The sequence below is a fragment of the Homo sapiens genome, chromosome 12, assembly GCF_000001405.40.
Source record: "Homo sapiens chromosome 12, GRCh38.p14 Primary Assembly".
Lineage (NCBI taxonomy): Eukaryota > Metazoa > Chordata > Mammalia > Primates > Hominidae > Homo > Homo sapiens.
In genome coordinates this window covers 101,041,645-101,054,764 of record NC_000012.12, presented here as the reverse complement: position 1 = coordinate 101,054,764, position 13,120 = coordinate 101,041,645, and the positions used below count along the sequence as shown (strand labels likewise).

The window sequence follows — 13,120 nt, the reverse complement described above, 5'->3', positions numbered from 1 at the left end:
ACTTTGGGAGGCCAAGGCGGGCGGATCACAAGGTCAGAAGATCCAGACCATTCTGGCTAACACAGTGAAACCCCGTCTCTACTAAAAATACAAAAAAATTAGCTGGGCGTGGTGGCGGGCGCCTGTAATCCCAGCTACTCGAGAGGCTGACGCAGGAGAATGGCGTGAAGCCGGGAGGCGGAGCTTGCAATGAGCCGAGATTGTGCCACTGCACTCCAGCCTGGGGGACAGAGCGAGACTCCGTCTCAAAAAAAAGAAAAAAAGTTCTCTTATATATCATCATTATGGTGATGCTTCCATGACTATATATATTTGACCTAATTTGTTGAATTGTTCACTTAAAGTTGCTGGATTTTATTGCACATAAATTATACTTAAAGTTGAAAAAAATCTTCCCACAATCCCACCACATAAAGCAAACCACCATTAATATTATGGCATCATTTCTTTCTGTTTTCATTTACATTTAATATACTCAAAATCGTGTTTTACTTGTATACTTTATACCCTACTTTAAAAAAATTTAAATACAAGCTTTGTATTATCAACATGCTTTGAAAGAGCAATTTATAATAGCTGCTTATAATTTACCAAACCGTTCTTCTATTGTTGGACATTTACGTTGTTCACAAATTTTGCATATTATAAATAACTAAAGCTAGGAAAACATTTTACACGTGTGGTTTTTATTCTGGAAATTGGATCTTTTCTGAAGCCAAGTTCTGCGTAATATTTTGACTGAGTACTAGAATGCCTTCTAAGGGGCCTGCCTGCCACCAGTTGGCCTCCACTTTCACCTCTCCCTGCACTGTTGCCAGAGTTATTTCCCAAATACAATTGATGATGTCCCTTCCCGGATTATAACTCCAGTTGGCTTTCTGTTGCTTACAGCGTGAAGCCATGTTCTGTTGTAGCTCAAGTGGTCTGTGATAAGTAGCTCTCAGCCTTCAACAGGTACTCTGCTATGGGTTGAACTGTGTCCCCTCAAAAAAGGTCCCAGTACCTCACAATGTGACCTTATTTGGAAGTAGGGTCAGTGCACATGTAATTAGTTAAGATGGGGTCATAACTGGAGTAGGCTGGGCCCTTAATCCAATATGACCACCGTCTTGAGAAGAAGATAGCCATGTGAAGACACAGAGACACGGGGCAAATGCCAGGTGAAGACAGAGGCAGAGATAGGAGTGATGCATCTACAAACCAAGGAAGGCCAAGGACCATCAGCCATCACCAGAATCCAGGAGACTGGCATGGAACAGATCCTTCCCTCACAGCCCTCAGAATCCCACTGACACCTTGATTTTGGACTTTGAGCCTCCAGAACTGTTATGCAATAAACTATTGTTTTAAGCTACCCAGTTTGTAGTACTATGTTACAGCAGTCCTAGGAAACTAATACACACTCAACCTCCCTATCACTCTGAACAGCCAATTCTTCCTTTTCAGAGCTTTACAAATACTCTTGTCACCTAAGAATGTTATCTATGTCTCCTTCCAACCCCACTACTCTGCCTGGCAAAGCTAAGACTTCTTTCCAATATCTCTTCTTGGGTGAACCTTTTCTGCTTTTCCTTTTGCCTCAGGAAGTTGACTACATAAACCCTCATTGGCCTATTGTAAATTGGACTTGCCCTGTATTATAATTATCAACGCTTCTTTAATATACTGAGATTTTTGAAAGCAGAGATCACATCTAACTCATTTTTGTGTATGAGTTAATGAGATCTTAATTGACACACTTCACAGAAGATGCACAACATGGTGGACACACTTTGGAATGACTCTGGAGTGAAACAGACCAGATCTGGTTTAAAGTTTAGGCTCCACACCTTATCAGCTACTGGAATCCTGGGCAAGTTGCATAACCTCTCTGAGCCTCAGTATCCTCATCTATAAAATGAGGTTAGTAATTTCTTTCTAATGGGTGATGAGAAATTGATGAGGTATCCTATGTGAATGTGCATACAAACATGGTAGGCCTTTAGTAAATGTGTACCTTTTTCAACATACAATTACCATTTTTTTGTGGAACATGTAGATAAGACTATAAAATATAAAGTTAGCATAAATATCTAGAAACAAAAGGCTGATTCTTGCAAAATTTATTTTTTTAAATGAGACATACTTCATTCACCAATTACTAACAGGATCACACTAAATAATTACCATCTTGTCATTTTGATTAAAGAGCTTTGTGGATCTTGCTTGGTGTGTTTACTGGGGATAACTTAACTTTTGGCAATCCTAGAAGTAAAAAATGAAAAACAAGGGGGAGAGAGAGAAAAAAAACAAACCAAACCAGAAACAGAACAGAGGGAAATAATCTGTTTCCCCGACAGGTCTCTGCCAACATCTAGTTCCCTGATGACTCATTTTTTCCCTCGGGAGAGGAGTTATTTAGTCCATAATCATTCTGACCCTTGGACCTTTCTGAACAAAAATGAGCATTGAGGAATGAGCCACACTGTAATTCCAGCCGAGACCCAGGCTCACAGCATACCTCAGGGATCCCGAGGGAGCCCTGCACTCACACAGACGTGACCTGAACAAAGGTAGTAGAGTTCTGTCAGGATTCCTAACCCAATGCCAAGGCCCTCCCAGTTGCTACAAACTGGTTACAGATGGAGCCTTATTATTTTTTTCCGGTGAACACACAAAGCAAAGGTAACAAAATGAACACGTCAAGCCCAGCCCTTCAGAAGTCTTGTAAACCACTTACATCTGTTCTCATCAGCTCCATATCTAGCAATTTCCTGAAAATAGAGTGCATTTGTTTTCTTTAATGCTGTAACTTGTCGATCATAAGAGATGATCCTGAGACCATTAAACTGAGCTCCATTAGAACTGACACATTTTTATAGAACATTACTGTCTCAAAGCAGGATAAATGAGGCTCAGGACAGGCATAGCAGTCCTTTATTTTAAGGTTCAGGTCTCTAAAACAGAAGGAAATGGTAACAAACAATACCTGATTCTAGCAGTAGAGCAGAGGAGCTCACACTGCCCAGTTTAACTCTTGGCTTTGCCACTTTCTAGCTACTGCTGCAGTTTCCTTATCTGTCATATGAGGATAAGAACAGTACCTTTTTAAAAGCTTGCTGGAGAGATTAAATGAGATGATACATGGGCAATGCTTAGGACTGCATTTAGTACATAGTAATCCCTCGGAAATGAATGCTATTAATATAACTGTTAATATTGTTGACTCTTTCAGATTTCTGCAAAAGGCATTATCTCTATCTACAAAGAAACACTTGGGGCAACTCATTCTTTTTCTCAAACTAGCACATTTCTGGGAATAATGTGGGATTTAAGCAATAAGTTGTCATCTAAGACAAAGCAATTCAGAGGGTGAATTATTCCAGGCATGTCTTGCCTGGAATGGCCCTAAAATGTTCCTCTGTGCCCAAAGTTTATTATAAAACATCCATCAGAGTCTTACAAAGTATACTCCAAACCACAAGGGCTGTTAAATCTCCAATCCACCCACTTTCAACCTCAGAAACTTCTCAACTCCATGCTCCAGGCAGCCAGCACCAATCAGCTGAGGTTGGCAAGGGGATAAAACAAAACCTATTTGTCATCTATAACATAAAACACAACTTGCAAAGAGGGTATGCAATCCATTTTATAATGGAGGTAGTGGGGGAGAGTAATAACCTCTGCCTTATGAACAAATGTCATCATACAAAAATTTACTTCTATGTAGTCTCAGGAGGTAAACTGTGAGAAGAAACCATTATTTAATTCAAAGTATATTTGAAATTGGTGAAATATTGAAGTGGGTAAGGAAGTTTTGTGTTTTAATTCTTCCAGGATACCACCAGGATACCACTCTTATATAGAAGCATTAACTCATTGCACAGTAAATTAGCAGCCCAAGGCAGAACTTCCAAATGCCTATGCCAGGAATAACAATAATGCCCCTTTCAACCCTTGTGGCTTCTGAGGCTGGGGTGTTTGGGACAGCCCTATCCATGGCCATGAGGAGGCTCCTCCATGTACAGCAGCTGCTGTGTAAATATTTTCATTTTTATGTGTGCTATGACCTGAAAAGTTTAGGAAATGAATACATTTAGGTTTACAATATACATTTAGTATTTACGTTTACAGAATACTATATACATTAAGGTTTACAGAATACATTTAGTATTTATAATACTGGTTTAGGAAATGAATATATTTCCAGAGTCCCCTCATTTGTGACCATGGCAAAGCTTAAGCATTATATGGCTTATCCGAATCACGGTGTATGATACTAATAGATTCTAGTAAAACTATATACGCATTCTTTATCTGAGAGCTCAGGCCTGTAATCAAAATTCTGTTAGGGTTAGTTTGTTTGCAAGGGACAGAGAAGCATTAAGGGTAGCATGAACAGTGAAAGCTTTTCACAAGGTCCACCAAGGGAGGCAGGAATCCTACAGGAAAAAATACATGGCCTGTTCAGAGACAGGATATGGAAGCCCGAAGCTTGAGAGAGGCCTCAGCCACAAGAGAGTCTGGGTCTTCATCCTGACACTCCACTAGTAACATGACTTGGCTATATTCTCTCTTTGCTTCCCTCTGGTTGTCTTACATTTTCTCCCAGTTGGCTTTTTCGCCCTCTAATTTTTCCACTAGTTCTTTGCTTCTATCTATTTCTAGGTTCTGATTCTCATAACTTCAGCCTCCTAATTCCTCCTGGTCCCTACTTCTACCCAATGGTCAATTTTAATCTTTCTTTTTCTCCCTCCCTCCTGCCCTCTGTATTTTTCAGTGTCCATTCCTGCTGCTAACTCCCTATTTCCCTTTACATTTTCTAGTCCACATTCTGGAGAATAAGAATCTGGGTGGCCCTACCAGTCCTTGTCTGGGCAGAACCTCAGGCCTTTTCCCAGGCCACTCACCAACCTGTGGTTTGACTGATCTTGGTTCAAATGCTTACTGGCTGAGAGGGACTGGAGTCATGGGGTTCAAAACATGTCCCTTCAACAGAGCTGTGATGGGTGGGACAATTTTCCTTTGACAGTCTCTAGGTACAAAAGACACAATATATCAAGAACAAGCTCCCTCAAGTGAACAAGGTTTTATGTTTCCACTTATCAAAAAAGACCTCTTAAATACATTCACTGTATCATAAATAAATACTTTTGGTAATTTCTTTTTCTTTCTTCTTCTCTTTTTCCTTCTTTCCTTCCATCCATCCATCCATCCATCCATCCACCTATCTATCCATTGACCCACCCATCCATCCAACAGAAACTTACTGATTCCATCTATCTCAAAAAAAAAAAAAATATGAGATCTCTGATAATCATAATGGTCCTCAAGGACCATAAATCTACTAGGCAAGACAAGTTATCTGTGAAAATAATTTTAAGTGCCCTAAGAACAAAATGCCATGGAAATTCAAAGGAGAAAGACATCTTTTGGCTGGAGCAGATGACATTTCAGCTGGGGCCTGAAAGATGGGGAAGATTCCAATATTCATAGCAGACATAATGAACAAGATGAGCCTAAGTCTAAAGGTAGTAGAATTTTGTTACATCAAAATTCAGATTTTGGCAATTAAAGTTATAGGAGAAAAGTATAATTGTAAAAAATTCAAACCAGACTAAAAATATATAGCATAAAGTTTGTCTCTCCTCGTTGTTCACTTACTCTTCCATGAATCTTCCTTTCCAAAGGTAACTGCCATTAACTGCTTTCCATGAATTTGTGAGATGTTTTTCTATATCATTAAATTGAAGCTTTATAATTATTTGACTATTATATATTAACCCATTTTACAAAGAGGTAGGTTAAATAACTTGCCAAAAATCACACAGCCTAGTGTGTAAAGGGAGTTGAGATTTCAATCAAGTCCTGTTACTTCCAAATATTTGACTGTTTCCATCACACCTTGTGTGATGGGGCTGTTAGCTTGAAATTATATCAAAAAGCTCAAATCAGTCCTGTGAATAGACCTTGTTTTTAGGGGTAATTTTGTACAGAGCTAGAAGAAAGCTAAAGGTGGGTACTCACACATTAGCCACTTACAATAGAAAGTCCTATATATACTGAGATGGTGTTTCAGTTCTCCCCTGACCTAAACTAAAGTTGTACCATAAGCTTTATTTCTGTGTCCAACAGAAAGTAAATTCTACTCTAATAACAGAGTGCTAATGACATTGTTGAAGGTTTAAGAGAAATCAGACATGTCTCTCTTCTACAATATCGTTTAAAATAAACCCAATAAATTATTTACCAACTTTCTACTAATAGGAAAGCTAATTCCATTTACTCAAGCTTCTTTCTTTCACATCCAAAGTGAAACTTCTAAAGGAATATATCATAGGGCATATGAGGAAAACTCAAGTTTTATGGTTATAGAACACTTACCCCAGACTGCCATGAAAACAGCAAAGAAGACAGTGGCTCCATTGTCAAAAAGGTGGGTTACCTGTGAATAATAAGAATCGGTGCTGAGTTAATTTCTCATATATGATATTCCAATTCAAATTTTTTCAAGTTCTGTAAAAATAGCTGTGATTATATAATGAGTTTTACAGGCTTTGTTTTGGGTAGGGGGAATATTCCTTTTGAACCATAAATAAGAAAAGGCTTCCTCTAATTGCAAGGTAGTTCATATATAGAGGATACAATTTGTTCTCTTTATGTGGTTATCATCTAGTTGAACATTTATCAGCATCCCCAATAGTGCTACTAAGAATCCCCTTTTGTGCACAACAAAACTCTTATACACGTACATATGTGTATGGATATAGTTATATTTAGGACCAGGAAGGTATTGTTAGTGCTGCTTTAAAGGTTTTCAACTTCCCAAGCACTGTTTTTAATGCCTCATTTATTCACTTTGAAAACATGGCTATTTTGTTTATGCAGTTTTGAGCAAACATTTTCTGGGCTGCCCTCTGGATTTCAGCCTTATAAAAAAGAGCAGAACCATTAACTAAATCCAACTCTACCCTTATTAAAGCCTTGGGTAATCACTATATTTACCTACTGCACATAACACAAAGACAACTAGCAATACTTTATTGCTAGAATAATATATTCTATTGCAAACACCACAGAAGAAAGCAAAAATATCCATTTTTACTGCAAAACTGCCAAGCTCATTCCTGCCTCTAGTATAAATAATACCAATGTCCATGACAAATTGAAATGATGACTGATAGGTTCATAAAGAATAACCTTTTTTGGGGGTACTTTATAGCTACCTATAAAGTATACTTTATTGTTCCTTCGAGAATGCACCAAATATAAAGAGGTTTTTCATGTTATATCAGAACGTGAAGTATTTCAGATTATTCCAGAAGTTTCTCTTTCTTTGAATAGAGGAGAGATGGGCAGCACTCAAATACCTACTGTGAGACAAATGTCTGAAGCTAATCTATTTCATATGCCAGAGGGAATGTTAAGCTGTATATTGGGCACTCAGTATCAAACCAACCTTGAAGGTTCTAGCGGTATTTGACTGGACTGTGCTATCTATCAGAGTTTGTTGTTGTTTGTTTGTTTGTTTGTTTTTGAGATGGATTCTGACTCTGTCACCCAGGCTGGAGTGCAATGGCGCAATCTCGGCTCACTGCAACCTCCACCTCCTGGGTTCAAGTGATTTTCCTGTCTCAGCCTCCCAAGTAGCTGCGATTACAGGCACCCGCCATCATGCCCAGCTAATTTTTGTATTTTTGTAGAGATGGGGTTTCACCATGTTGGCCAGGCTGGTCTCAAACTCCTGACCTCAGGTGATCCGCCTGCCTCGGCCTCCTAAAGTGCTGGGATTACAGGCGTGAGCCACCGCGCCCAGCCTCTATCAGAGTATTTACTGAGAGTTGCTAGAAAGTGTAGCTTGCACCATCAGTGTCCATTCTGGAATGGACTGCAGTTATCATTGTTTTGGCTACCCAGATCATCTGTCTTCCATTCTCCTTTCTCCAGGTAACTCCTGCTGGTCCCAAGGGACACATGGCTCAAAATAGAACCAATCAGAATACTGCCCTGGGGCTGATACACAAACATTTGGAGACAGACAGCTTTCTGCTGCAGTTATCAATTTGACAATATATGAATGAGGAGGGGTAAGGTTATAGGGGCTCCGGTTCCCAATGAGATAGTCAGTTAGCTTAAGCTGATGACACCTTCTGCCAAAATCAGTCCTGGAGAAGCAAGGTAGTAGATTCCAGGAACTAACAAAACACAAAAACAAAAAACAAAGACCCTGAGAAACCTCAGGGGAGATGGGAGGTTATCTTGAACTGGTATGTGTGTGATGGTGGTGGTGTGTGGGGAGAGGTAGGTTGTAGATACCAGGTAGAGTGAGAGCACAGGTTAGAGAAATACATAAGCTCTACTCTAGCCTCTCTCCCTCAAATGGCCATTGGACAATTAGTTTCCCCTCCCTCAGAAATCAGCTAAGCAGGCCACACCACAGGTGCTGGTATTCCTGGAGCAATATCAGGGAATGCTCAAAGTCCTGCTCTGTTAGACATGGGTGAAAAGCAGGTGCTACCTGGATAGCTGCCCTGGGGCATTCACTCCATAGTCCACCTCCTCTTAAACCCCAGCATTGGCAGATTACAATCAAGGGAAAGTGCCCAATTCTGCTTTGTTCTAAGCAGGTTTAAAAATGAAACTGACCAGAAAAGTCCTCTGATAGAGCAGTAGCACTCAGTCGTGCCTGGGGCACGCTGTCCTCTCTGTAACTCACTAGGACTGACAAACTTGGCCTTGGCCTCTGACCCTTACTCAAAGTGGCTGACGCCTCCAGAGGACAAGTACCCAACAGGCCAAAATAATGAAATATATGGGGAAGACAACAACCCCTCCCCTCCAAAGAAGATTCCCATAGACACAGTGTGGCAGCAGACCAGGAGTTTAAAATAAGCACAAAAATCCACTTAAGGAGACAAGGGAAGGAAAACGTAAGCCTGGAGCCAAGGCAGCTGGTAGCCATCTTTTCTATTGTACAGAGAACTAGTCTACAGAATGATCATGTGGGCAGGGCCACCGGGGTCCCTGGAGGAACAGTTCCAGGCTGTGAGGCCCTCATGATCCCACAGCGTGAGCCACCCCAGTATCTGTTCTGGCAAAATGTACCATTACATCACTTTCTGACTAAGCCAGTAGGAGTTGGGTTTCTGATTCTTGCAAACACAAGAGTCAAGGATACAGCATCCCTATCAGCAGAACAGCCACTGATTGGACTAGATCCCAGCGCCAATCTGATTTAATATTTCTGTGTATCCACAGTCCCATGAAATCACTCTGACATCTCTAATAAATATTTCTAAAGGAAACCCTGTATAACTCCAATTCTGTCATTCTAAGGCTTTTTATCTTTCATTTTACTAAGTTTCTAGGCAAGGCCAAATGTTAAATTCAGAATCTAAACATCTTGTGGCTCAGCAGGGCACAGTGGTAAAGAAGGCATGTTTTGCAGTGCAATAAACCAAGGCCCAGCTACTTATTGCTGCATGACCATGCATGAGTAATTTTTACCTCTTTGAGTCTCTGAATAAAATGGAAATAATAACACCTATCTTGAAGTTGCTGTGAGAATTAGAAATAATCAATGTAGATTGTCTAGCTATTATTATAGCTGTAACTATTATAATTATTATTGTTCTAGGTCTTAAGTTAGGGAGAATAACTCCCAAAATAAGCCCCTATAAAATCTGAGCACTCATAAACTATTCATGACGATTCTTTAAAAGAATTATTAAGGATCTCCTAAAAAGAGAATTTTACTCAAGCATATCTTTCCACATTAAAAAAAAAAATTGGCTTCTGATTTTGGGGTTTCCCCAGAAGCAGAATTTTAAAACCTGAGTCATTCAGGCTTATATCTGACCTTTAAACAAAATTATATTACTGACAAAGCTCTTGATGCTCACCAAATCTCTATGTCCTAAAGTCACTCTGTTAAATTTATCCTTATCCACTCAGGTCTATCTGAGTGTTTCCTAAAGATAGGGCTCAGAGCATTTTGTGCTTTTTTTGTCCCTTGCAACATAAGAGCTCAAATCTTTCTAAAACCACTGCTCACTGCTGCAGTCTGGGCTCCTCCTACACAGACCGGCCACCTGCAGTACTAAAGACATTATAGATAGGCGGGATCCTGGGTTGCCTATCAAATGTTCCCTTGTTTAAAATGAACAAAACTCTGCAATGCCAAGAGAGTAATTAGATAGATCCAGGCTTCAGTGATTACAAAAGCTGGATAAAATCTGCCAATGCCATTTATATCTGAATCTGGGCAAGCCAAAAGGCAGTAGCTCTTGGAAAAGTCTTCGCAAACTCAAACTTCAGCTATTGTTTTGTGTTATGGACACCACCACCTAAGTATCAAAAAACTCTAGGAATGTGAGGAATATGTCTAAGAAATAAAGTAAGGCATATCACGAGAAAGAGGTATGCAATAACACATAATAGAAATAGTGGTGTCATGTATTTTTTTTCTCATAGCACTTTCACATATATTCTCTTCTTTAGTCCTCACGTCATGCCAATAGGGTAGGACAGAGAGGACACATATTTCCTGTATTTTAGAGACAAGAAAGCTCAGAAGACTGAGCTTCTTTCTATGAAAAAAGAGTTTCTTAGAAAGGGGGCACATTTCAGGGCTAAAGAGGTAAGTGGCTGAGCTAGCCTTAATTGGAGGTCATTTTGACAATAATGATGATGAAGAGGAGGCAAATGATGATAGCTGTCATTTACTGAGGTCTATTTACCAAGCACTATGCTCAGTATACACCTTAACTCCGTGTGAAACAAGCATCATGGTCTCCATTTTGCAGATGAGAAAACTGAGACTCAAAGAAGTTAAATATCTTATTCCCAGATAGAGAAATGGTAAACAGCAGAGTCAAAATTTGGACCTAACTTTCTCTGACTCCAGCACCGTGCTCCTCACACTGTGCCATGCTGCAGCTCCATGGATGATGTCTAGAGCCATGCCTTCCAAATACATGGACAATTAACAAAGATATGGGAATTAGAATACTGAATGATGGAGATAAGTCTATCCTACAACATTCACTTGAAAATCAAAGACTGGAAATGACAGAATAGAGTTACCCACCATCCCTCAGGAAGGTGTATGTTAAATTCAATTCATCTAAAATGCTACAGTTTGAAATTACCTTGGCATATACACAGCTGTCTGACAGCCTCATGAATGGACAGTATTTATCACACACAGGACACATGATGATATCTGTAGCTTGGCAGACTTCTTTACTGGAAAAGAGAACAGAAAGGACTGCTTTTTGATGACATGGAACATTTTTTTCTAACTTCACCAGAATGTTCAACTAGTAAATAAGATCCAGTAGGTTAAATGTTTGCCCTTAGAAGCATCTTAGCTTTATCTGTTATTAATGTAAACAAGTTCTTGCCCATTTAAATAATTTGGTAAACCTACTTATGAGGCTGTTCCTTATCTTTATGTATTAATAAGTTAAACTCAGGAAAATACATGAAGCCAAACATTGATTGTTATATCCCAAATTATAGAAATGTCCTTCACTTTTCAAAGGTCTGAAGCAATTTCATACTGAATTAAGGGAGTAAGAAGATATATAAAGATACTTATCTTGATCTCTATGTGTATGATAAGTTAAAACTAATATGGAAAACAAAACATAAATGACTAGAGATTCTAGCCCTATCCTGGGGGAAAACTATATTTAACTAACACATTAACAATTTCACCAGAAAGTAAAATGTTTTCGTAGGTGGAAGGCTTAATCACTCACTTTTATTTTTGCAATCACATTTAAAAGGCATATTTACAATTTAAGATCATTGTCCAGCCTTGCAACAAGATCTCTGTGAGTACCTTGACCTATATTCTGGTGAGACAACCAAGATAATGGTCATCGACACTGAACCGCTCCCAAGATACTAGCAAGCTGGTGAGATGTCTTTCTGGCTCAAGTTGTAAAAACACAGAATTCATAAGAGAGAATTGTTAGTTCACTATTTTGCAGTATCAGCTAAGAAAAAAAGTGAAAAAGTAAAAAAAGAGAGCACTTATAGCCAGTGAATGAAGGCGGCTTGTTCTGTGGATATATAGTGGCTTGTATGTCTGAAAAGGTAACTTTTACTTGCATGGTATCTGAAGACCATGGCAGCAAGGACAATGGATGGAGAGGTCCTAGTGAACTGAAACTTTGAGTTTTTCCATGAGAGGGTAGGAAGTTTGAGTGAAAAGCTAAATGTCTCCACAATCTGTGAATACCCCCAAAGTGCAAACAGCCACCTCTAAGTACTAAACAAAGGCAAACTCATCCAAGAGCTCCCCGTACCTGACTTGGCTGTGATCCAGAGTGGTGACGCCATACAAAAAGACAAACAATCCAATGAAGGCAGCTGGGAAGAGCATGCCGGTGTACCAGCCCAACCAGGCAAAATATAACCCAATCTTCTCTCCAAAGTACCGCCTGTTAAAGACACAACGGCCTTGCAAATTACAGTGCAGTGTGTAAAGTTAAGCATTATGAAACTTCGTATAGTCATTTTACTTTGTAGCGGCCTTACGAGGTAAACTGCAAGCAAGGTAAGCCAAGATAAAAGAACATCCCATCAAATCTAGGATCTGGGCTTACATTTCTTCTACTACTACTCTATAGCAGAACTAGAATTAGCCCTTCCATAAAATAACATGGTTGTATACAAGCTTATTCTGAGAAGACAGAATGGACTGGAAGGGGCCGGAGTGGGCAAAGGGAGACCAACCAGGCACACAGCTGTCATAGTCCAGGTAACAAGTGAAGGCAGTGGAGATGCTGAGGTGGGGCCCGATTCGAGAGATATGGTGGAAGTAAAACCTATAGGATAGGAACTGTCTAAGAGATGACATTCCCTAGATGCTCCACAACTTTCATTCTACTCAAGGCTTGGTTGTGCTTTTCATCCCCCTTTATTTGCCCAACATAAATGCCACTGTTCTTCAGGGCTCAGCTCTCCAGAGACTTCCACAGGGGTGCTGCCACATCCGTTCTTTCCATTTTTCTGAATTACTGTAAAACTTATGGCCTCTGTCACACATTTTACCTAATTATGCATGGCCTTGTATTTTCTTTTCTCGATGTTTCAAGTATGCAGGGCCTGTGTTGCTGAGGAAAACTGA

The 13,120-nt window shown here is 39.7% G+C and overlaps 1 protein-coding gene across 17 annotated transcripts in view; it reads right to left on the bottom strand.

The window, feature by feature from the left end:
* The window catches only part of ANO4 (anoctamin 4), a 411,381-nt gene that overhangs the window by 73,877 nt on the left and 324,384 nt on the right, over window positions 1–13,120 (bottom strand). For 16 of the 17 annotated variants that reach the window (XM_011537912.3, XM_011537911.3, XM_047428302.1 and 13 more), the window contains 3 exons: window positions 12,297–12,431; window positions 11,130–11,226; window positions 6,364–6,424 (listed from right to left, as the gene is read on the bottom strand). In XM_011537912.3, the coding sequence (XP_011536214.2) occupies window positions 6,364–6,424; window positions 11,130–11,226; window positions 12,297–12,431 (293 nt within the window). Of the gene's footprint in view, window positions 1–1,360; window positions 5,015–6,363; window positions 6,425–11,129; window positions 11,227–12,296; window positions 12,432–13,120 lie in introns of those variants that run through there. The other variant, XM_011537918.3, reaches the window with a different exon arrangement.